Raw genomic sequence first — 27,053 nt, forward strand, 5'->3', positions numbered from 1 at the left:
AAAATGGACATTTGAATATTATAATGTGGAAACTCTGTAAATCAGTTTTTCTTTTCCCTAGGGTTTGCCGTTGATTGTTGAAGTCTAAGATTGTGTTACTGATTTTTCCAACCTTTTTTGTTTTTGCAAAAACTGTACTCCTTATTGTATTAGTTACTGAAGTCTCTGTTCCTTTAGTTTGTGTTCAACTAGTGCTTTGACAAAGATTTCCTTAAATACTAGGATTACACACACACACACACACACATGAGCTCTGGGCTCAGGGATTCCAACTCTGCCTCAGCCTTCTCTTCTTGCACTAAACTTAGAGATCAGCCGAAGGTGAGAGCTTAGGATCTTCTCAGGTCTTTTCTGGGCATGTGTCCTGCCCTGAGCATGTATATGGCTTTCTATATTCCCTAATATACACTTTTGAAAGACCTAATTTCTCAAATAAACTCTCCTCTGTTCTTCCTCCCAGGCTTTAGATTGTGTATATCATCTTTTGCTCCAAGCAGTTGTGGTTTTTTTGTTCTCCTTATAATGTTTCCAAGCAATGCTCACCACTTTTCCATCCTAGGTGAATTCTGAGTTAGATAAAACACAGATGGGCACTCTGTGTCAGCCCTTCAGGCAGCCACAGAGAGGTTAAAATAGAAAGACCACAATAATTTGCAAATAAGGTCTGCTCTGCTCCCTTTAGAACCAGAGACCAGGGTCCCACACTGGCAATGCAGGTTGCTTTCTTCAAGATTGCCATTGACCTGGAAAGGGGATGGGCAAGGACAAGTAAAAACACCACACAGCTTTCCTACCATTTTTAATTTGCCTTTTTCTTTATCTATTGTTTACCTGACTGATGTAAACCTGTGTTTTCCAGAGTTCTGACAAAGTTCATTCTGATAGTTCCTATTTGTTTTTTGATGATTCTGTGGAGAAATGGGTGTTTGGAGCTAAAACTCTGCCATTTTTCTGATGCCAGCCCCAAAATTTATATCAAACGCAAAAGACCCAGAATAGCAAAATCAATCTTGAAAAGAACAAAGCTGGAGGGCTTGTACTCCTGAATTTCAAAACATGCTATAAAGCCACAGTATCAAAACACTGTGGTGCTGGTATAAGAACAGAGGGGCAAAGGCATTTCAATGGGAAAAGAATAGTATTTTCAACTAACGGTGCGAGGACAAGTAAATATCTACACACAAGGAGATACACTTAAGGCTTTTACCTCGCATCACATGAAAATTAACTCAACATGGATCACAGATGATTTTGTGAAATGGTCTTTCACACGTGAAAGTTTAAACTATACATTTTTTTAAAACATCAAATGAAACTTTTAATGACCTTGGATTGGCAGATTCCTTAAATGTGACACCAAAAACAACCTAGGTAAGGAAAAACTGATAAGTTGGATTTGACCAAAATTTAAAACTTTTGCACTTCAAAAAACATCACCAAGACAATGAAATGGCAAGCCACAGACTAGAAAAAAAATTTGCAAATTATGTCTAATACAGAATCTGTATCCAGAATGTATAATGACTTCTTATATAATTAAAACAACCAATTTAAAAATGGGCAAAATATCTGAATAAACATCACCAAGGATATATAAATAGACATAAAAAAATGCTCAAACATCATTAGTCATATTAGGGAAACACAAATTAAAACAAGAAACCAACGGTTCATACCCACTAGAAAGGTTATAATCAAAAGATACACAATGACAAGTATTGATGAGGATGTGAAGAAATGGAAATCCTTATACATTGTTGGGGGGAATGTAAAGTGATGTAGTCACTTTGGAAATTTCTTTTAAACATTAAACATAAATGTATGATCTGACCCAGAGATTCCATTCCTAGGTATCTACCTAAGAGAAACAAAAACCTATGTCCACACAAAGACTTAAATGCAAATGCTCACAGCAGTACTATCACAATATAAAAAAAAACCCTGAAAATAACTCAAGTGTCTATGAACAGATGAATGAAGAAAATGTGGTATATCCATATAATAGAATACTATTCAGCATTAAAAAGGAATGAAGCACATGGTATTGTCTCAAAAGATATTTAAAAAACCAGCCAGATGCAAAAAGATTAAATATTGTGATTTCATTTATGTGAAATGTCCAAGAAAGGCAACTCTATTGAGACAAAAAGTAGACTTGTGAGGTTGGGTGTGGGAATGGGAGTGACTACAAATGGGCAGGAGGAATCTTTAGGGTGGGATGGAAATGTTCTAAAATTACACAGTAGTGACAGTTGCATAATTCTGTAAATTCACTATGTCACTGAATTGTATCCTTAAAATAGACAAATGTTACAGTGTCTAAATCATACTTCAATAAAGTTGTTTAAATAAACATTATATGCATGTATCACCACTTTGATAAAAAATAAAATGACAAAGCCAGAAAAAAGTCTAAGAAAGGTGAAAGAAGACTGATGGATGCTGTGTATAAAGGTCACCCAGATCTTTTCTTCTCAGGTAGATTCTAGAAAGATGGACGCTATTCTACAAAAACATCTAGGCTAATGGTTGTTGGTGTTTCCAAGCAAAATTACTTTTCAACCTTAAGAGAAAAAAGCAGTGGGCAACAAGTTACAAAGCCAATAATCTCTTCTTTCCCTACATTCTGGAAGCATTTTCCAAACAGGCAATCTTTTAGCTTGTACAGTATATGACTCTGGTATCTAATGATAGCATATTCTTTCATTTATAATATCGGTATTTGTGTCAGTGTGGATGTTCATATGGTTTCTAAAGACCAGGCCTGTAAAATGATGTCAAATGTCAACATCTCAATTATCCTTCCCCAAAAGTATACTGACCATGATTTACACTGTGGATTCCTAAAACTATTAATCACTGAATGTACTCAGTTCTCAGGTACATTTGAAACAGCAATTTATTCTCAATAACTGCTATAACTCATTTCTTTCTTTTTTTTAATTTTTTTTTTGAGACGGAGTCTCACTCTGTCGCCCAGGCTGGAGTGCAGTGGCACAATCTCGGCTCACTGCAAGCTCCGCCTCCTGGGTTCACGCCATTCTCCTGCCTCAGCCCCGCCCCGAGTAGCTGGGGCTACAGGAGTCTGCCACCACGCCCGGCTAATTTTTTGTATTTTTAGTAGAGACGGGGGTTTCACCATTTTAGACAGGATGGTCTCCACCTCTTGACCTTGTGATCCACCTGCCTCGGCCTCCCAAAGTGCTGGGATTACAGGCGTGAGCCACCGCACCCGGCCTATAACTCATTTCTTAAAAATAATTTAAAAAAACTATATGCTCTTAAAAATATAAACAGTACAAAAATATTTAAAGAAAACTTCAAGTTCTCTCCTAGTGACCAACGTTAACCATTTGATATACACCCTTGCATATTTTGTCCTTGGTTTAGACCAACAAATATACACAGTTTTATATTTTATTCCCTCCTCTCTTCCAGTTCATAGAATACCATCTTATGCTATTAACAGACCTTGACATTGTTTTCAATTACATATGAAATAGGGCTGCCTTTTTCTTTTTTAAAAATGTATTTTTTTTTTCTGAGATAGTCTCACTCTGTCACCCCAGGCTGAAGTACGGTGGCACGATCTCAGCTCACTGCAACCTCCGCCCCCAGGTTTAAGTGATTCTCCTGCCTCAGCCTCCCAAGTAGGTGGGATTACAGATGCCTGCCACCATACCCAGCTAATTTTTGTATTTTTAGTAGAGATGGGGTTTCACCATGTTGGCCAGGCTGGTATCGAACTCCTGACCCCAGGTGATCCACCCATCTGTCTCAGCCTCCCAAGTGCTGGGATTACAGGTGTGAGCAACCATGCCCGGCCTTCTTTTTTCTTTTTGTAATGTGATTGCTGGTGGGTCAAAGGATTTGCAAATACAAATTTTAACCGATATTGCCAAATTGCTTCCCCTACAGATTGTAGTAATTCACACTGTAACCAGCAGTTTGTGAAAGTATCTATTTCTCCACATTCTTGATAGCACTGATCTTTTCATATTTACCAATCTGAGATGAGAAGTGGTTTCTCATTGTTAAGTTATATTTTTTTTATCTATAGCGAAAGGTGGAGGTGGATACTTTCCATGTTTTGGGCCATTGATACTTCTTTTTCTGTGGATTGCTTGATATATATTAATTTTTTGTCCATTTTTCTATTACTTGTCACTTTATTCGCTCTTTGTACATTAGGGATATGCGCTGAAATATTTTTTCCCAAGTTTGTTTTCTCAGGCTTTAAAAAAAACTTTGCTCATAATACTATATATATATTTTATATACATATAGTATTTATATATACATAAACTCAGTTCAATCCGAACATTTTTTCCTTAGGTTCCTGAGTTTGCTGTTTTTATGAAGGCGGCTTTCCCTAAGATTAGATAAGCCTGTGTTAAGTTCCCAAATATGCTTGCATCTATTTCTGGAATGTCTATTCCATTTCTCTTATGTATTCTTTCTCATAGCAATGCTATATATTTTTATTACAGTAGCTGTGTAATGTTCTAACATCTGGCAGGACAAAGACTCCTCTCTCAACATATTACTTTCTCAAAAATGCCTCAGATATTCTTGCATCCCTATTCAACTATATTCATTAATTAGTATATTAAAAATATGTACTAAATAGGCCCTCTTCCCATTTCAGTGTCTTGTTCTGCCACGCAGTTTCCATCTACTGAGTTTTGAAATTTAGAGCATACAGTTTTAGCAATTTTCCTGTGCTCCCATTAGGGCCTTCTTAAGCGTAATACAGTAGTCTCTCCCCCATCTGTGGTTTCATTTTCGTTGGTTTTAGTTACTGGAGGCCAAACCTGCCCCAAAAATATTACATTGAAAATTCCAAAAATAATTTATGAGTTTCAAATTGCAAGCAGCTCTCAGTACCATAATGAGACATCAGGCCATCCTTCTCTGTCCTGCCCAGAATGTCAATCATCCCTTTGTCCTGTGTCTCCACACTGTCTGCAATACCTGCCTGTTAGTCACTTAGTAGCTGTCTCAGTTATCAGATCGAGTGGTTATCAGACCGACTGCCTGGTATCTCAGTGGTTGTGTCCAAGGAACCCTTATTTTACTAAAGAGTGGCCCCAAAGCACAAGAATAGTGATGCTGGCAATTCAGGTGTGCCAAAGGGAAGCTGTAAAGTACTCATTTCAAGTGAAAAGGTGGAAGTTCTACTGAAGGAAATAAAGACAAATCATATGCTGATGTTGCTAAGATTTACAATAAGAACAAATCTGTGAAATTTTGAAGGAGGAAGAAGAAATTCACGCTAGTTTTGCTGTCACACCTCAAACTGCAAAAGCTGTGGCCACGGTGCATGACAAGTGCTTAGTTAAGATGGAAAAGGCATTCCATTTATGGGTGGAAGATACCAACAGAAAACATCTTAATATTAACGGCAATGTGTCACTCCAGAAAGCACTGAGCCCATGCAAAGACTTCAGCAAGGAATCCCTTGAAATGAGTGACACCAAGCCATTACACAGACGGCCAACAGTAGCCCATCGCCACATCACAATGCCTACATCACCTCACTGCATCTCATCGCGGAGGCACTGTAGCATCTCCCATGATCACAAGAAGGGGAAATACAGTACAATAGAGGATATTTTGAGAGAGAGACACATTCACATAATTTTTATTACAGTATATTGTTATAATTGTTCTACTTTATTATGTTATTAATCTCTTACTATGCCTCATTTATAAATTACACTTTATCACAGGTATGTATTGGAAAAAACAGTATATATATGATTTGGTACTACTACCCACAGTTTTAGGCATCCACTGGGGGTCTTTGAACATATCTCTCATGGATAAGGGGGGAACTACTGTATGTCTTGTATTATATTATAGTCTTCTTCTTTCATGTAAAACATGGGTTTTGGCCAGGTATGGTGGCTCATGCCTATAAAATAAAGGCATGGTGGCATATGACTGCAATCCCAACTACTCAGGAGTCTGAGGCAGGAGAATCGATTGAACCCGGGAGGCGGAGGTTGCAGTGAGCTGAGATCACACCACTGCACTCCAGCCTGGGTGACAGAGCGAGACTCTGCCTCAAAAAAAAAAATAAAAAGAAGAAAACACAAAAAAACCCCCCATGATTTTACTCCTTGAATTTACTGCTAAGCTAATCAATCTCATCAGCCCCTCACTCATTTTGTTTAGTTGCTCCAACTTTCCAAATTCTTTCCAGCCTCTGGGCCTTTGTACAGTACATGTCCCTCTGTCTGCTCTGTACGCATCTGCTTGGTCTGTTTAGACATTATTTCCATTAATGGCCTTCTCCAACCCCTGCTAAATTAAGACTAGATTCTCATTCATCAGACCTTGTACTTTTCTACTGCAGCATGTAACTACTGTTTATAAATCTCTATTTGGTTACCATGCTGTCCCCCACTACATTAAGTTTCAGGAAGACTGTGCTCCTGTCACCACTGCATACCCAATACCTAGGAAGAGTCTAACACATATACTTGAAAAGGAGAATGAGTTCTTTGTATCTGTCTCTGAACCATTACTAAAAATACATTTTAACAGTGCAATACTTGCAACCAAGATAAGAATGCAGACTTTAAAAGCCCATTCATTCTCTATTAAACAGAAATTATATATTCATTATAAATTATTTTTACATGTAAGTCATTACTATCAGTAATTGGCTTGTAGGATAATCTGTATTGTTCTTTATACTTATTGAGTCTAACGATACTGCTCCTATTTGAGAATTTTTCTTGAACTAAGTATTACACTACAGAGATAAAGCTCCTTCCTATATACTATTACTAACCTCTCTTAGTAGAACAAAAACACAATACGCAAAGCATACTAGAAATATTTGGTTCTTTTAATCAGCTATTCATGGTGTAATAAAATAAATTTAAGTGGCACCTAATTTAACATTTAAAATAGTTCATTAAAAGATAATCTACAAAACAATGTTATGCCTAATTGTCAAAATAACACCTTTTTTTTTTCAAGAAAGGAGAAATAAAGGCATAATCAAAATTATGGCTAACAACGTGGGTTCATTTTGACACTTACAGATGATTCTGTAGGCATATCGGCAGGCACGATGTTGAAAACCAATCCACTAGATTTAAAATTAATGGTAAGATAAAAAAGAAAAGATACACATTTCAGAGGTAATGTTTGAAATTAAAGAAAAATATCCACCATATATTACAACAGATCTTTTAATGACTATTTTTAACATAAAGATTGTTGTTTTGGGAAACATCTATTCTCTTTGAACATTTCACTAAATTTTCAATGTATTAAATAACTGACAGAAATAAGTTCTGTGTTCTGTACAAATTAAAGGTCCCATGAATACATAACCCCCTCCCAGCCCCACCAAAGCTCAATTTTGCATGGTTTCAGCAGAAAATAGACAGCCCAAAATTTAAACAGAATTCATAGCATTACAAAAGTTTACAGAACCCCTATGTTTTCATCATTTGTTTCTAACAACAAAGATTACAATGACAGAACTGAATGATCAGAATGTAAAAATATTTGTGCAAAACTGCATTAATTGTTCTTACCATCTAATAGGGGTAAAACTTAAGAACACGCAATGACAATAATGAAGAAAAACTACATTAAAAGTAATTCTACTTTTGATATCAAACAACATGGATTATACTATTACTAAACATTGAAAAAAAAAACGTGGCACCATGAGAGCAGCAGGAGCAACAAATGATTTGGCAATTCCAGCTAAAGAAAGCTGACACTGGAATATGCCAAAGTTAATCTCCACAGTAGGCATCCATCTGAAAAGACTGGAAACAACTGTAGGGCTTCAAACTTACTTCAGTGTCTTTATTCTTGAATTTGCAGGTCATAAATGAAATATTTAAGAAAGTCTTTTCCCCTCCCTCTCAAGGAGTGTTTCTTGCATTACTGGCAATCATTAAAAGAGTTGAATCATAGATTCTCTGGATTTACCAACACCAATCCACTTAACTAGGAGAATACAAAGAGAAAAGGAATTGAATCAATTCATCTCTAATGTTCACTCGTTGGGATTAAAACAGGTAGTCCCCTACTTTTCTCAGTATCACCATAACTTTTCCCTATGTGCCTTTTTGCTGTTCTCTATTCTGTTAGCAGACTGTGCCGATTTCTAAACAGGATGTACAAATAAGACCCAGCACAGGACAGTATGCCTTACTGTTCCCTTTTTAACTGTGCAATATTTTCACTTTCCTAATGACTTAGGATAGTAAAATATTGACCAACACCAGCAGAGACCTACAGAAAGTTGGTGATCAAGTTCCTGATAACAGGCCAAGATAAGCATCTTCAACATCTAGATGAGAATATGATTTTAACTTGCACAGCCTCAGAAACTGCCCACTACAGGAGTCTATGGAAATCGAATCATCTGCATCACATGGTTTCAGATTATTTGCAGAATTGCCAGCTTCCATAAGGTACTGTTAGGATCAACCTTCGTGGTATTTTACAGATTTTTGTTAGACTCACTGCTGTTTATATTTCAAGAAAATGCTGACCAAGAGCAGTAAGCAAATATGCTTACTAAATTTGACATCATGCTGGGAGGGGCAACTAGTAATTTGGAAAACAAGAATCATGCTGGAAACGAAGCACAAGGCAAAAGAGATTTTACACGGAGGACACATCCCACACACTTCACTTTTTCTTATGTTTCAAATATCCATCAATGCCAACAAAACGATACAAGGAAAAAGCCATCTGTTAAAAGAATGACTTCACATAACTAGATACAGCCATACGTTGTTATGCCTAACTCCCTCGCCATCTTATATTTGTTCTTTAATAAATAGGCTTAATTATTTTTAAAAATTTTTTCTTACATTTTTTTCTAGTGAGATTTCCCATTTTCTATACCAATTATTTCCCAGTGTATATTCAGGAAACTCCAAATCTCAAGGGTAATTTAACCCAAACAAACCATAAACCATTTTTAACCCCCCAAAAACACACAACATTTTTTGTGGTGGTAGAGATACATGAGGATTTGTTATTAAGAGGGAGAAGTGAATGAGACAATGTCACAGGATAAAAAAAAAACAGACTAAGAATTAAAGACAGGGTCAGAAAGGGTGAGAAGTAATCTATTATCTTCTATTTAAAGATGAGCATCGTATTTACTTTAAGGAATAAAAATATTACTTTGTATCTTCCTGGGCATTTATGCAAATCATGTGCACTCTGTAAAGTAACAATGATCTTTCCTTTATTCTATTTCAAAGGCACATAGGCAAGTTAAAAGAAAAGACAGTTGGCCGGGCATGCTGGCTCATGCCTGTAATCCCAGCACTTTGGGAGGCTGAGGTGGGCAGACCAAGAGGTCAGGAGAGACCAGCCTGGCCAACATGGTGAAACCCCGTCTCTTACTAAAAATACAAAAATTAGCCAGGCGTGGTGGCGCGCACCTCTAATCCCAGCTACTCGGGAGGCTGAGGTAGGAGAATAGCTTGAACCCAGGAGGCAGAGGTTGCAGTGAGCCGAGATCCCGCCACTGCACTCCAGCCTGGGACAGAGCGAGACTCCGTCTCAAAAAAAAAAAAAGAAAAAAGAGAGAGAGAGAAAAGAAAAAACTTATTCACAAAGTGTTTATGTTTACCTGGAATTTGAAGCTCATCTTCAATAAATCGAACATAGTTTTGTGCATTAACAGGTAGTTCTTTAAACGCCCTTGCATTTGATATGTCTGTGTTCCATCCTGGGAGAGTCTTATATTGAACTTCAACTTTATTTAAGACTTCTTGGTTTGCTAAAAGTTAAAGAGGACATTTATTCATGGCACACACTGTTTACTGTCAAACAACTTTTTGATATATTGTAGGTTCAAAATGTCTTTTCAAAATCTTTGGAGCCACATATGTTTTGGGATTTAGAATTCTTCAGGTAGTAGAAAGGTAAAACAGCGCAAATACCATCTGGAGTAGTATTCTATAATCAAACATATTTCTGCAGCAACGCATATGATCATTTGCTATAAGAGGATAAAGATTATGTAATACTAACATTAGTTCAAGACTGGTTTTGCTGCCAAATGAATCTGGGTGCCAAACTTAAAACTTTCCAGTTTTAAAGCTTATTGAATTTCCATTCTATTGATTAGGGATTGTAGATCTGCATGACAGCAACTTCACAGAAAGAAGGCCTGCATACCTGCTGTCTTCTGAGAAATCTAGGGTTCTACTTGAAATTTTCTTCATTATTCTACGTATTTTCTCTGTATCCCCTAATGGAAACTGAACATGTACTAAAGAAAAGTTTCTTTGACTTGAGTCAATACAGTGGATGCTATGGTACTCTGCCCAGATTTCTCTCAAGACTGAGAGCTGTGGGAGCTCTGCCTACTGAACCACTCACAGTTCAGAGCCTCTGCAGCACTCGTCCTCCACCAAAGGGAGCTGCTGCCCCCCAGCAGCCCATATCCATTGACTTGTCAATGTAGGAATAGAAACAACCTGGGCACTTAACCTTAATTTGGGACAACTTTCAAGGGCTATGTTAGCTCCAGAGCTCCCTATGGGATCAGTGAAGGCTTTTTTGCAACTATATTGCAGTGCAATTTCTCCCTCTGCCTAATCCTGCTTCTCCCACTCCCTCACAGATGTTGTTGCTCAGTGCACTTATGAGCTAACCCGCCTATGTGCAAATCTCTACATTGGAGTCTGTTTCCTAGGGAACTCAATCTAAGATAGCTGGCACCAGGAATGGTTAGAGGAAGATAGCTCTAAAATGAGAACTAAGAGGCAGAATCACTGGCTAGCTGGCTGGCTGGCAATGAGGACTGCCACTGGGGTACATAGAGTATGGATAGCCTCTATCTGAGGCACTGAGATTCGAGCACGGTGGAACAACAGAACTGGATGGCTTTTGATGAACGCTATTCACGAACTGGAGAAAGATAATGAAACCTGTCTGGCAGAACTTAGACAAAATTCCATCTCCTACAGCAGAGAGCAGAAAAAGACAATGATTAAGATGAGAATTCAATCATACAGACTGCAAAGCTCCAGAAAAAGCTGAATTCTGCAATCCAGCAAGTTTGCTATGGCAAAGTCAGAGCTTTGTTTGGGAAAAAGTGGGGCCCTGAGACTGAATGGGACATCTGAGTTGACATACTTGAAAATCCTGAATCCCTAGATTTTCCAAACTCTCTGGGTCTGCAAAAGGTCCCATTACTTCCTATTAAAGGTTGTGGCATCCTGTTGCTTGAAGATGATGCAGAGGCCTCTGTCTTGCAAGGCAGCATGTGCCCATCTCACATCCACCTTCACCTTCCCCCTCCTGGCCAGTAAATAACTAGGTTCAGGTCCCAGTGTAACCTGGCTAAGGAAGCACTGGGCCTACTAAGGAAGGAAAGGGACTGTATTCTAAAAGATCTGCAGGAACAAGACAACATTTGCCAGTAGGTACCAAGAGAGTGTATATGGAACTGGATCCTGAGGATGCTGGGTCAAGGGGGGCAGCAGGTGGTAGAACAAAGTTGAGTAAGACTATATTGGTATGGGACTATCCTCTCATGATGCATGACACAGAGATGATGAAAACATACTGCTAGGAATGCTCTTGGAAGCTTAGAAAAAGTAATGAACCATACTAAGTAGGTATGCCGGAACTGCTGTTGTAGATGGTAGGAGGAATTAAGAGAATCAGTGGGGCTTCCATTTCTAGTCATCATAAAATACACAGTTCCCAACCAGCTCTCAAAATGACAACTCTTTCTAGGCAGTGAACGACAGGCAGGCACAAAGCCATGGCTCCTGGGAGAGAAAACTCACAAGCAAGTCCAGAAGCCACCCAACTTTCTGCCTAGGGACCATTTCCTGACCACAGTTCAGAACACTGGTGTCAGCAGAGAATGGCAGCTCCACTGACCTGGGGAGGTAGAGAGTTGACTTCAGGAAAGCTGAAGCAGCTAGAATCAGCAGCGCCAGGCATCAGACAGGAGCTGTAGAGAGAAGGGCCCCCCAGAAGTCCATGTGAGAGTCCCAAGGCTACAGGAGGACGCCACAGGTAAAGAGCAGGACCATCAGAGGCTTACCAGACCTCAGCTGCTACACAGTTGGGGGTGGAACAAAGACTCTAGAAGTCAGTAGTGCTGCTGAAAAGGAAGGGACAGGGTACACTGGTGCTCCAGCACTGCTGGATTGAAGAGATCTCATTATTATACCTTAACTCTCCTGGTATCCAGCAGAGCCACCAGAAAGGCTGCTCTTTAAGAATAAAAGCCACGCCCTTGAGTGAAACCTATTACAAACCTCCCATAATGAAGCCAAAAACCAAGCTCTGCCAAGATCTATAGATCCTGGAAACTGACTCATACCAGCTTAAAGTTTGAAAAACATCTTGGGTTTTCCACGTAACTACACACAAAGCATAAAACCAAACTATACAAGTTCAAGATGATCAGTGAATAATTCAATCGTCCCCTAAAACAAGGATCAACACTATTCAGAGGAAGATAACAGAATCTGAGTCTCTTTAATATATCATCCACAATGTCTGTCAACCAATGACTATCAATCAATAGTCATTAGGCATAGAAACAGTGATCCACAACCAAGCAAAAGAATAGTCAAGAGAAGCTCGAGATGGTCTAAATGTTAGACTAACAGAAAAAAAGTAGCTAATATAAATTAAGCAAATTTCATTGTTATTGAGTGAACAGATAGGGAATCTCAGTAGAGAAATAGGAAGTAGAGAAGAGAGCTAAATGGAAATTCTAGAAATAAAAATTCACCAGTGGGTTTAAAAGCATATTGGAGATGCTGATCAGAATCATTTACCTCTTCCAGTGACTCCATTCCTTGCCTGCTGGCTTTGGCACATGAAATCCAACATGATAGGGGGAGCCTTAGCTTAAAGCTTAATGGGACTTTTGCTTCTACTTTCCTGCTGTGATAGCCACAATAGGGGCTAATTTACTCCACTAACCTTCCTCTTATAAGTTTCCCTAGGAAAGACAACAACCAGAATCCTACAGGAGCTATTCCCAGAAGGCTGTCAACTTATTTTACCCTCTTTAAGCACTCTCTGCTGCTGGTGGGGAGTACTGCATGTTGCTGATTCATAGCTCAGTCCCTCTCCAGGAACTGCTCTTGGCCAAAGGGAGCTACCTCACTTGAGGAACAGCTCTTATTTCGTGGCTAGTTGTTGGGAGGCACAAAGCTCTGGCTACTAGCCTCAATTTAGTATAACTCTAAAGGGCCACCCTAGCTCTGTGGCTCCCAATGGGATTGGCTGCACTGTATTTCAACTAGTCCCTCTGCTTCTTTCATAAGTGCTACTGCTGAAAGCATTCTCTACTACACTTCTTGGATACAAATCTCCATCTCAAGAGTGGTTCCGGGGGATCTTGACCAAAAACAGCTTTAAAATTAAACACATGAAATGGACAAGTTTTATGTGTTTTGTTAGTTTTTAATAGTTTAATTAAAAGAATTTGCTGTAATGTTCTAGAGTACATTACCATAGATGACAGACCTTGCCACATGTCATTATACTTGGTTAGACTGTTCTTTTTGGTGTTTGAAGTTATAACTCTTGAAATAGCTTTGTAAATAGAATTAAGAACCAGGACATAACATATACTGGAACAGCCAGTTTTCCAAGTGAATATTGTCCTACAATGGCAGTAGATACTTTTTTATAAGATATCTAGACTCCCTCTATACTTACATACATGTAAGACAAGGAAAGATAATATGCATTTAATTTCTAAGAACTTAGAGCTAACCTTAATTCCTAAGAAACAGAAGTCATAAGGTAGTCACAAAACCTACCAGCTCATCAAGTTTTATTAAGCTAGTCAATATTCCTTCATTTGGCATATTCCTAATCCTTATCAAATGACTACTATAGAATAAAGAGCAGAGAAAGTCATTCATGGGGCCTGAAGGATAGGGAGGGCTAATGTACTGAGAGCCAGCTTAACAAGGGCTCTTCTTACCCCTCTTCTTATTCACTCTCAAGAGTGGCATACTTCCCCAAGGAAGGAAGAAACACCTCCATGGAAATTGCTTTCAAAGGAGGGAAGATGAGACTCAAGAGCTGTATGGCTAGGCTCAGAGGTCCATGTTTTTTCTTTTGAGTTTGAGCACATGCTTGTTGTGACCCAACACCTAAATAAGTATTAGCTATGAACCAAATAACTAATAATAAGTGAGCAAATTTGCACTAATCATAAAGGGCATATCAAACCTGTCGCTATCTATCACAAATTATATGGAAGAGCTTTATGAAACTGCTCTAATACATTCACCTTATAATATCCTTTAGATATTGCCTAAAAGAAAATACCTGGGATATGAGGTATGATTTCACCATCTAACTTGTAAGCAACTCCAACTTTGATTTCCGTAAACATGTCCAAAATATCCAACTTGGTAAGTGCCAACCTAATTTTGGAAGAAAAGGCAATGTTAAAAGAGCAGACTCTTAAAGCCTCTAATATCTAATTTGATTAATGCAGGAGTAAAGAAAAATTCATGCAAAGCTTAAAGTTCTAAAGCAATTCTGAAAACTGGTTAGGATTATATTTTAAAGCGTGCCACACATAAGACGCTAGAGGACAATATACACTGAGTTACTTTGCTAGTAATTGTAACAGATTTTCACTGATGAATTTTGCTTAGCTTTCTTTTTTGATCGTTTTGAGACAGGGTCTCGCTTTGTCACCCAGGCTGGAGTGTAGTGGCACAAACACGGTTCACTGCAGCCTCAACCTCCCGGGCTCAAGCAATCCTTGCACCTCAGCCTCCTGAGTACCTGGGACTACAGGCGTGTGCCACCAGGCCCAGCTAATTGTTTTGTATTTTTTGTAGAGACAGGGTCTCACCAGGTTGCCCAGGCTGGTCTCGAACTCCCAGCCTCAAGTGATCCTCCTGCCTCTCGGCCTCCCAAAGTGCTGGGATTATACGCATGAGCCACCATGCCCAGATCAGCTTTCTTATGATTGATGAACAAACAACATGTATTTGTGGGAGGGCTGCCTGGAGTTAAGGTTGCACTGTGGCCGTGGAACACAGCAGAACTCACTACACTACATGGATGATTAAGATACATGTACATTTACACACATGCCAGCATCCCTCAATTCTTCACTCTGGTTACCATCACCTCTACCCTTCTGGTCAGAAATTGTCAAAGAGTGAGAAAAACCACATCAAGGACCTCTTCATGATACATCAAAATTTCCCGACAAACTGACTGGAAAACAGGTTTTAAAGAGAAAATCTGCAGAAATTAGATAACAAACTAAATTTGGGATTCTCGTCCAAAAACTGTATTTTTAACTTTATTGTTATTTACTGGAAGTTCAGTCTAATACAGATATGAATACATTTATTTACCTATTCATGTATACGTATTAATAACAACTTAACTTTCCCTGAGCACTTTCAGTTAGCCAGGCAGTGTGCTATAGGCTCTCACTACGTTTCTCACCTAATTTTTAAAATACCCCTATGAAGTAGGTAATGCTGTTATATAGATTTCAGAGAGGATAAAACAGAGGCAGAGGATGATTAACTTGCTCAGCTACACAAGCATAATGCACAGATCTGAGATCTGAATCCAGGAACTCAGACATTAAGCCCATGCGCGGATCACTAGGTACATCGCCTCCCGGCTGTACATGCTCATGGTGTCTGTGCTACCCACCTGTCTATCTGTCCACCTATCTGCCTACATACCCTATTCTGCCTGCCTCTATACTTAGAGTATCACGATTCTTTTCAACAACCTTGGATGTCTAGGAGGATAACTTGGGATCTCTCTCCTTGTGTACCCTTCCCCCTATATCTTGGTCTACTTCTGCCTGGCACTACAATTTCAATATGGAGTCTAAAGAGTGAAATTTTCCTATTAAGGTACTCCACAAAATTAAACCTATGGCCATTAATCATCTATGATTTCCTGAAATAAATGTTTCTGAAGAATACTCACGCAGTAAATCCATTGATCATATGAGCATATTTGAGCAAAACGAGGTCCAACCAGCCACATCTTCTTTTCCTTCCAGTAGTTACACCAAACTCTCTACCCCTTGTTTGTAATAATTCTCCAATTTCCTACAGAACAGAAAATTGAACTTTAGGATTAGAATAGCAGTGCTATATATCTGGTGGAATAATATATGCTAGAGATCATAGCAAAGCCTCTTTGAGATAAACATCTTTCAGGTAATAACTAAATTGAAGATAGAATTCCACAGAGATGATGAATTTTATCTGAGGGAGGCATTATTTGGAATGCTTCATTTATTATCATTTTTTTATGTTAATATTTTTTACAATGTTATACAGATAACTTCCTAAAATTTAGATTGACAGATTAAGAAAAAAAAGTATTTATTAAATAGACGAATCCAGCCAGTTCTTCCAAGAGCTGTAGTTTGATGCTTTTCCTGAAAACCATAAGGCAAATGTATCTAATAAGTCATTGATATCATAATGCCCTTCTGAAGAAAACTAAGATCGAAAACATGCTCAAATATCTAAGCTAAGGTCACTCCCTACAACTTGTTTTTCCTATGATCTACCGAAGTCCTTGATTTGCCCCTTTCTGCTTAAAGCTATCATTTCATTATCTCTTATATTCTGGCATCATTATAATTACATAGTTTTTGTTTATTTTTGTTGACTTTATTTTATCTTTTGAGACAGAGTCTCGCTCTGTTGCGCCGGCTGGAGTGCCATGGTGCCATCTCAGCTCACTGCAACCTCTGCTTCCTGGGCTCAAGTGATCCTCCTACTCAGCTTCCCCAGTAGCTGGGACTACAGGTGCATGCCACCACACCCAGCTAATGTTTGTATTTTTTGTAGTGACAGGGTTTCAACATGTTGCCCCAGCTGATCTTGAACTCCTGGGCTCAAGTGATCTGCCTGCCTCTGCCTCCCAAAGCACTGGGATTACAGACAGGGGCCACCACGTCCAGCCAAAATTATGTATTTAAGAAAATGTTGTTCTGACCAATCTTGCAAATTAAGTGAAAGGCACAGGAGACAATAATTCATTAAGAAAAAAAAGAAGAATGAATTTTTAATACATTTTGATTATTTACTTAGAATAGGCTTACATTGTCTTGCTCTGTAGGAAAGGCACCAATACCAACTCTAGTTGTATAAGCTTTCACAACTCCATACACTTCTCCAACATTTTGAGGTGGCATACCCAAACCAGTACAAACACCTCCAACAGTACAATTTGAAGAGGTTACAAAAGGGTAAGTCCCTAAAAACAGAAACAGACATTAAAATATAGTAGACACATGAATAACACATTTTAAAACAGAATTACCGTTACAATTCTGCATTTGAGTATATTATAGGTATCTAACAGATCTGAACTGTAACTGCCCTCTCAAAGACTCAGTGTTTTACTTTTTATTCATTTTAGCTGTAATGACATAAAAACGAGGTCAGAGCTTTAACGCAAGTGCTTATACAGAGAGGCTCCTTGAATGCATGTACAGTTACTGACTCAGCTCTTTATAGCAGCTACTCACTTACTGGATTATGAAGAAATTTAATGCTGAAACTCATCTACTTATTTTCATAGTTTCCTGTTAGTGTAAAACAAATATGACTCCCTCATACGAATATTTAAAGTGTTGTAGCAACCTGGAGTGACGGCAACACAAGAATTTTGTAGGATTCAACATTTCCCCAGCTTTTAATCTCTACTCAGGGAATAACCCTCCAATTATAAGAGCTAATTAAAGAGTGGCATACTTTCTCACCCCCAAAGATCTCCTTCATATTTAACTATTCACTCTACCAAGTAGACACTCTGTTTTCTTTCCAGACTGGCTAGACATACTATGGTATCAAAAATACATATCTACCATACAGAAATACACTTTCTTTAATAGTTTACTTGGAGTCAAAAGCCAATGAAATGTCAGTAAAAGCCAATGAAATGTCAGTAAAAGCTGAGAACAATCAGACTAATCATGAGAAATCATGTTTAAATGAAACGGTCAACAAACTAATGAGGCAGTAGTTTGACAAAAGAAGTTAAGCATTAATTAACCTTTTGAAGATGAAGGAAATGCTCTGAATTCAGAGTCTCATGCCCAGGGAGTTAATTTATATAAATAGGCTTTTATAAATCTTGCTTAATAATAATGTACACATTTTTAAAAGGTTGAATTAAAGATGCAGATTCTTCCATAGAATTTATCTTATCTTATAGTTCCAGGGTTTGAACCATAAACCAACGAAAACCACAATTTACAGAACCTCAGACCTACTGAACTCAAATGATGATTTTATTTTTCTAATAAAATAGGGAACGTAACACATGTATTGTGTGTTCTGCAATATTCCTTTAAAAAGAGTGCCACAAGATGACAAATTTCATCATTCCTGAATATACAAGCTAAAAACATTGTTTTAAAACTCCTTAATGCTAACATTAATTATTTATATTTTAACTACTTAGGGCTCAGTTAAGCTCCCTTAACTATAAGTCATATCTCACTTACCAAAATCAATATCTAATAGTGCTGCATTTGCACCTTCTACCAAGATTTTCTTTGGTGGTCCATGTAGGGCCTCATATAGAAAATAAACTCCATCTCTCACCATTGGTTTAATCTTTTCCATATAACCCTATACACAAAGACAAAAACCAATTTCCATGTATACTAATAAACGTTTAACATAACCAGAACAAGAATAAATTACCTGACTTTATGACATGAAAACTGACAAACGCAAAGTAGAAAAGGGCTGGTGACGGTGCTCACTCTATTGTAACATTTGGATTAGCTTTCATGTCTCATGCTGATTTTCCAGGAACAGAAAAGAGCATTGCTCAACAAAAACTAGAGATACAGTGAAATTCAAAGGTTCTATATTAACCTCACTGCAAATAAAACCCTCCCAGCAAAGTAGTCATACTTCATAAACCAGCTTTCAGGAAAATAAAAATAAATGACTATATTACAATGTGCTTTTAAATTTTGTGAGGTATTTGAAAAGCTGCATTTATAATATAATCCACAAAACCATAAATTTTTTATTTTATTTCATTTTTTGAGACAGAGCCTTGCTCTGTCACCCAGGCTGAAGTACAGTGGTGGGAACATGGCTCACTTGCAGCCTCGACCTCCCAGGCTCAAGCGATCCTCCCACCACAGCCTCCTGGGTAGCTGCACTACCACCATGACCACCTAAATTTTTTTCTTTTTCTTTTGGTGGAGGTGAGTTGCCCAGGTTGCCCAGGCTGTTCTCAAGTGATCCTCCCACCTCAGCCTCCAAAGTGCTGAATTACAGGTGTAAGCCACTGTGTTTGGCCAACCATGAATTTTGAAACTTGCATCAGTGATTCTCAAAATGTGGTGAGGGCCACGAGTTACACTGCCAGGGCCACGAGTTACACTGCCAAGTATGCAACTATTAGTGATTGATTACTGTTATTCTTTTAAATTTTATCCTATTACTGTAACATGTCTATCTCTACACTATTACTAGTAGATAATGTCCAATACTATGTAACACATGGGCATTATAAAAATTTCTCAAAACATTTAATTGTTAGTATTACTGCTTAACTTCAGAACTCAATTAAAAATGTAAAATAACCAAGAGCTTCCCCTAAGGCCTATAGCATAACTGCATGAAACCTAGGTTCAACTATGTTTAAATATGTAGACTATTATGGAAATTCCAGAATCTACTCATGAACCCACCTGAGTGTGTTAATACCCACTGATAAATGTATGATCACTCATGGGCTATAGTCTTCAATTTCTGACTGATTCCTGTTTTAGTCCTATTTTTATGCCTGAAATGACCACACTAGTCATCACGTTCTTTGTTCCTTAAAATTCTGGTTCAACATACATTACCTATAAGAATCTTCTTACCTAATTCTATTTATTATTCTTCACCTACTTTACATTCACATGGAACACATATAAAATGGAATTGAAAAGCCATACTCATAGTTTGGCAAGTAAATACTTCCAAGTTGCTAGTCAAAAAGTTAAAATATTTGTTGCATAACAGACTGGGTATGGTAGCTCATGCCTGTAACCCCAGCACTTTGGGAGGCCAAGGCAGGCAGACTGCTTTAGCTCAGGCGTTCAAGACCAGCCTGGGCAACATGGTGAAAACCCATCTCTACCAAAAAAAAACCTAGCAGGGTGTGGTGGTGTGCCCATAGTCCCAGCTACTCGGGAGGCTGAGGAGGGAGGATCCCTTGAGCCTAGAAAGTCAAGGCTGCAGTGAGCTGTGTTCATGCCACTGTACTCCAGCCTGAGTGACAAAGCGAGACCCTGTCTCAAAAAATAAAATAAAATAAAATATTTATTGCATAGCTGAATAAAAAGAAAATGGCAGTCTATTCTACACAATAATCAGTGCACTGAAATACAAATACCTAACATTTAGAATGTTCTTTGTAGGTCATATTTTTTTAGAACTTAGTGGATGGGCAGACCTAAGGTCTGCATTTATTCTAGAATGGCATATGAGGTTTGTAGATTCCTACTTAGTTCTGGAACTGATATTGATACTTATCTATAGATGAGAAGAAGTAATAATCAGATTCACAGGAAACAGTTTGAAGTTCATCAAAAATCGTAAAAGGTGAAAGAATGAAGAGGACAGGAATTTCAACTACTGGCCAATGTAAGCACCACTGACACCTACTAGTTGCCAAGAAAAGACTAATCTTTGGTCAATTACCTTATTTGTCTCTTAAGAGTGCAGTGCTAAAGAATCTGGCCCTATGGGGTTATCCTTCCTAAATGGGTTGGTTAGCCTCAAAAGTTCTCACTCAGCCTTTGCTGATCTGTCCTCCAATTGTTAGAAGTGATTTTTATATGATGCAAATCTAGTCTCCTTTCTGTTCAAAATTTCCTAGTAGCTTTTCATTATCTCCAGGGTAAGATCTAAACTCCCTGTCACTGCACATGAGACATATGATCTGGACTCTGTCTCCTTTACTTCAGGTACTCCTCCTGCTCCCTACTCAATATTTTGTCTAAGCCATATCATGTAAAGTCACTCAAACATACCATGTCCAAGACAAACAATTTCCTTTGCCAGTTCTTACCCAAAGCCTGCATGAATGAAAAGATCTAGATGCCAATTTGGCAAACAAGTATTAAAAAGAACATTAAAGATGCCAGAAAGCATTACCTTGAGTTTTTGTAATTCACCTTCAATGTCTATTTCCAAAGTGGGGTATATAGATTTGTATTGGTTAGCTAGAACTTTAAACCTGAGAAACACAGATAAATCAAGACATTACCACTCTGTGAAAAATATTTCAAATAATATCATTTCATTCAAATGGTTTCTGCAGATGGTAAATGATCTTAACAGCAAATTAATCCTGAAACTGAAGTCACCTTCTGAGAAATAAAATTTAATAAAGGAGATCAGCCATATGAATAAGTAAGACATTCAAATTATTTTTTTACTCAAGTTTAGGCATAGCAACAATATAATTAAGGTGATATGTGTGTAGGGAGGGAAGAGAAATGGAATGACTAAAATCTGTAAACACAAAAGACTTAAATCTGAATTAACTGTATTATACTGTACAACAACAAAAGGGGGCAGTTTACATGATACTTCTAAAAGAGAGAGAGGCAGACATTAGCAATCTAATATTCTTCAGTAAAGGTGCACTGCCAGTGCAGACAAATGTTGAGTGGTTGATCGAAAGGGGATACAATGTCATTATAGCTTTGATGCCACTTGTTATTATACACAACCAACTCCCTATCATTGAGTCACTGAGTAGCTTTTTGATGACTACTAGGTTTCCCAAGGAGATCTGGCTACAGAAAGCATGTGTTAACGTAGCATCTGTTGATTTCAAGTTGAGCTTGGTATACAATAATTCACCAGTATCTGAGAGCTAATGATTTCTGGGTGGGAGGACATAAGGAGTCTCTAGGCCTGAAAATGCAAGGATCAAGACCTTAGAATGTAACCACCCAAGGACAGCCACAGCCCCTGGAATCATTCTATTTCTCAGGAAACCATTCCATATTTCAATTCTTAAATATAACTCTGGCTTTGTCTTCTTAGGACATTCTATTAAATCACCGTCATGTTATATTTCATGAAGTTAATCTGTAACCAAGGATGAATTAGAATGTAATAAAAATAACTTTAATATTTCAAACCTAAAAAAGCCAACCACCACTATTTAACTAGAATACCGACTGTATCATTTTGCACCCTAGATTTTAAAAAAAATCAAAAAATGCATTCATTCCTTCCATTTTGAAACACAAGTTAGTTACCTCTCAGAGAAGCCATCAAAGTCAGAAACAAGGTCGCACATCCTGAGTCCACTCCGAGCAGCTTTGGACGAATAAACTGGGCCAATGCCCTTTTTTGTTGTACCCAAACTTAAAAACAAATCCAAACAAGCTTTAAGTCAGACAAGAAAGATGTAGGTCTCCTGGTCAGATCATTGCAGTGAATAAAGTTACATATGACTATTTTCTGTTTATGTTATTTCTTGCTAAGTATATGTTCATAATCCTACTGATTTTCTCTAAAACAGGATATTCTAATACTTATTTTTCTTAAACTTCTGGTCTAGAACTAAAATATAAAGGTCTGCATATGCTTAAACTGTACCAAAAAAACAAAAACCCACACATACTTTTTTCCTGCTTGTTCTTGTCTCTGTTGTTCCTGGATACCATCAGCTGCTTGATGAAAATCAAATACTGAGGGGAAATAAAACCACAGTTGTTGAAACAAAGATAATACACAAAAGCAAAATCCACCGCATTTCAAATTACTGAAGTTATAAATCCCTTCAGCCTCATTTCAGTATAATAAATTAAACACATTTTTAGAAGTGATGATAGAAGTTTATAACACCAACTAGTACATTAATATGAAAATGTCTGATCTTTCGTTCTTATTTATTGCAGTCTATACTATTTTAAAAAATAAGTCATTAAGAGGGTAATTTTGAAACATCTTGCCCTAAAATTTAACAAAGGTCAATTTACAAAAATACTCTTTTTTCTTCAAGTTCTGGACTCCAAGAATCTAGGGCTCATGTTGACACCTCCCTTTTCCTCACTAGTCTCGAGCTTCCATCACCTCTCACCAAAACTGCAGTCTCCTAATGTGTGTACCTCTTTCCATTCTTAGACATCTCTAATCCAAATGCTGTCATGCAGCCAAAGCCATCTTTCCAAGACACAAATATGGCATTCACACCTCCCCTGCCCTTAAAACTCCATGGCTTTCCACTGCTCTAAAAAAAGAGACAAAATTCAGTCTACACTTTCATCTTATACCATGCTCTGCCACCCTCACTGCCCTCTGGTCACACTGGCATTCTTTGCAGCCCTCAGCTACAAGGCATGTACTTCTGCATGAAATATTGCCTCTTTCTACACCTACACATAACTTGTACTCCCTCTCTCCCCTGCCAATGCTCTGAGAGTATTAGGATCATGTCAGTTCAGCCTACTAGTTGATTTCCGGTGCAAACATGTCCTCAAATATTTACTGACTCAATAAATAGATGGTTTATAGAAGAGGCAAAACTAGAATTTTGGTCTCTGAACTTCTAACCAAGGCTTCTTGTTTTCTGTTTTGTTTTTAAACAGCTTTATGGGAATATAATTTATACACCACAAAATTCATCCATTTAAGATGTACAATTTACTGATTTTTAGCATATTTAACCATAGCTTCTTTTTGCTAATGATGTCACTGTTTCCAAATAATTAAGTTGAAATGTGTAGATGTTTAACAGAAAGACTGATATAAGGTTCTTGGGATTAGTGGTAGCATCTGTAAAAGAACTATTTAGAACTATTAGAAGACTGATACTGAAGTTATAGATGGTGAAGCTAGAAAAGTCTGATAACCCAATCTAAACCCATCCTCTGATTAACCCTGCCCCTAAAACCATGTATGTACTCTTCTCTAATTCCCTCCTTTTGAGACACTACTAAAACTATCAAGGCAGTCCTCCCCCTGTGTTTGGCAAGGTTAACAATCATATCTTTTTATGATCAAAGGTTTCCCTGGTGTGTTAGTAGAAAAGTTTTGATGCTGTACATACTAATTAGTTATATTTCAGAAGCTAAATATGTGTGATTTAAAAATATCTAGTAAGCAGTATCTGTCTTAGTGCCACACAGTTAGATAAAAGTAACATCTTTAAAGCCATATCAGTATACTGCACACCAAAAGATATCTATCTACAAGAATGCTCAGGGTAATAGTATTTGTAATATCCCAATATTGGAAACAACTCAAATTTTCATCAATGGTAGAATGAATGGATTTTTAAAAGTGTGAAATGGTCATATAAGGGGATACTATATAGCAATGAAAAAGAATAAATACTCTTTATGTAAACAATAATTCTGAGCTATAAGGGTTAGTTTATCATCATGTTCCCATTTTATTGCCCAAGCAATAGTCTTTCTCAGTTACTTGAGAGGCCAGAATAGTTCTGAAGGGCTGTTTTAAACCCTGATTTTGCAAATCAGTCATGACAAGACTGAGATCTTAGAGTACGCCATTCTCATTTCTTTTGAATAAAAAGACATTTGAATGTAAATGTTTTGTTTTCTATGCTCAAAGAAAGTAAAAAAGCAACTGACAACACACAAATAAATGGTTGATGGAAAGCAGGTGAACCATATTTTTCAGAAATTAATTTAGTACCTTGTCATAGAACTAATGCTTTCCTTGGTTTTTCTAGGCCCCAGGAAGCAATTACTGTAATCAGAATAATTACTTTCATAAGACTTCACCATGGCATGGAGCATTAATGCCTCCACTATTACTGTTTTGAAAGAACAGCCTTGGAATATCTGTTTCACTTTCTACAGCCTAGATACTGCAAACAAAAAAAACCATCATAACTGTGCACCTTTAGCTAAGTTTATTAACAGCATTTTTAAATTTTTAATTTACTATTATAGTTAAGTTTTATTAATATGATTAATGTTATACTATGCTTGGTGTGAGACTTGGTACATGTAATAGCCACTTTGCTTGCTTTCTCACATCTCCCTGAGGTCTTTACTCAACTGTCACTTTTCAGTGAAACCTCCCTGGCCACATTATATACAATTGTAGGCCCCTACCTCCTCCTCCAAACTGCCTGCCATTGCCTAGCTCCTTTCTCTGAGTTACTATTTCTCCTCAGAACTGAGCACTATATGCCATGCTACATCGATTACATATTTCTATTGATATGATTTGTTTTCACTAATACATGATATGCTCCATTAAGGGATGCTTTTGGTTTTTTCTACTGCTGAATCCTTAGTGCTCAGCACCATACCTGACACAGTAGGCATTTAATACATAGATATTAAATAAAAGAACAGCCACCTAACTAATCTGGATTTCATATTTAAATTTTAAGTGTCTCAACCACTTCTCAGGCCATTTTCCCTGAAAAAGCATCTCTTATAGTACAAACTGAATTATGAGATTCAGTGAACAGGGCAAAAGGTTAATGCAATAGGTCCTTGCATTAGTATACTAATGTAAAGAACTGGCCAGCAACTTAATAATTTTTAAGTTTCCTTAAAAAAATCAACTGTTTAAACCTTCTAAGTGAAATATTTGAAGGTAACTCAAGTAACGTAAAAGATGCATATTACAGCCCCTAGAGCAACTACCAAAATTCATAAATTCATAAAACAAGAGGTATAGCTAGTAAGTTAACAGTGGAGATAATATTAAAAATGTTCAATCGAAAAGAAAGCAGGAAAAGAACAAATAAAAAGAAAACGAAGGGCAGACATAAATCCAACCATAGTGATAATTAACTATAGTAAAAGTAACTAGTCTAAACATTCCAATTAAAGGATGAAATTGTCACAATGAATAAAATGCAAGACCCACCTACATTTTGTCTATAAGAAATACATTATAAATCTAAAGACACAGATACACTAAGGATTATTAGAGGATGGAAAGCGATACACCATGCAAACAGTAATCTTAAGGCAACTCTAGTGGCTATATTAATATCAAAGTAGATATCAGAATAAGGAATATTACCATAAAAAGGATATTGTGGTATTAACAATCATAGCTTATTAGATACTTTTAAATCACATAATACAAATTTAGCTTCTGAAGTGTAACTAATTAGTATATACAGCATCAAAACTTTCCTACTAACAGTACCAGGGAAACCTGTTGATCATAAAAAGCTATGGTTGTTAATACCAAAGAGGATATTTCATAATGAGGAAAGGTTCAATGCATCAAAATCAGAATTGTAAACATACATGTACCTAACAGAGCTTCAATGTGCATGAAGCAAAAACTGACTGACTTGAAAAGAGAAACAGACAAATCCACAATTACTGTTGGAGGTTCAGCACTCCTCCGAGTAACTGATAGAATACACACATAGAAAATCAGTTGGGATATAGGATTTGAACAACACTATCAAACAATTTGATTTAATTGGCATTTAAAGAACACTCTACTCAACAAGAGCAGAGCACATATTCTTTCTAAGTGCATGAAGACATTATCCAAAACAGACCACATCCTGAGCCATAAAAGAAGTCTCAACAAAGATTAGGATCATACATATTCTCTGTTCACAATAAAATTAAATTATAAATAATAGAGAGAAATCATGAAAATCTTCCAATATTTGGAAACATGAACATCATACTCAACTTATAAGTTAAAATAGAAATTATGTTATTTTGAACTGAATGGAAATGATTGTAAAAATAATATTTGCGGAATATCGCTAACATAATTACATGTGTTAGAGGAACACATGTAATTTTAAATGCTTACATTAGAAAAGAAAGAGGAAGCAAAGAAGGAAGGAAGGAAGGAAGGGAGGGAGAGAGAGAGGGAGGGAGGGAGGTCAGTTGGTTGAGAGTTCATGATCCAAGCTTCTAAAGGAACTACAAAAACGAGCAAATTTAAACCAAAGAAAGTAGAAAGAAGAGAAAGAGCTGAACCCAGTGAAACAGAAAATAGAGAAAATGGTTATTTTTTGGGGAAAAAAAAATCAAAAACCCACAA

The 27,053-nt window shown here is 37.3% G+C and overlaps 1 protein-coding gene across 5 annotated transcripts in view; it reads right to left on the minus strand.

The window, feature by feature from the left end:
• Positions 1 to 6,838: 6,838 nt before the first annotated feature.
• The window catches only part of ADSS2 (adenylosuccinate synthase 2), a 43,567-nt gene continuing 23,352 nt past the window's right edge, over positions 6,839 to 27,053 (minus strand). For 4 of the 5 annotated variants that reach the window (XM_047447585.1, NM_001126.5, XM_047447581.1 and 1 more), the window contains 9 exons: positions 22,666 to 22,732; positions 22,298 to 22,405; positions 21,180 to 21,261; positions 18,515 to 18,641; positions 17,105 to 17,259; positions 15,973 to 16,097; positions 14,326 to 14,423; positions 9,632 to 9,781; positions 6,839 to 7,983 (listed from right to left, as the gene is read on the minus strand). In XM_047447585.1, the coding sequence (XP_047303541.1) occupies positions 7,931 to 7,983; positions 9,632 to 9,781; positions 14,326 to 14,423; positions 15,973 to 16,097; positions 17,105 to 17,259; positions 18,515 to 18,641; positions 21,180 to 21,261; positions 22,298 to 22,405; positions 22,666 to 22,732 (965 nt within the window). In that variant the 3' untranslated portion in view covers positions 6,839 to 7,930. The remainder of the gene's footprint in view (positions 7,984 to 9,631; positions 9,782 to 14,325; positions 14,424 to 15,972; positions 16,098 to 17,104; positions 17,260 to 18,514; positions 18,642 to 21,179; positions 21,262 to 22,297; positions 22,406 to 22,665; positions 22,733 to 27,053) is intronic. The other variant, NM_001365073.2, reaches the window with a different exon arrangement.

This window comes from Homo sapiens, chromosome 1 (genome assembly GCF_000001405.40).
Source record: "Homo sapiens chromosome 1, GRCh38.p14 Primary Assembly".
Taxonomy (NCBI): domain Eukaryota; kingdom Metazoa; phylum Chordata; class Mammalia; order Primates; family Hominidae; genus Homo; species Homo sapiens.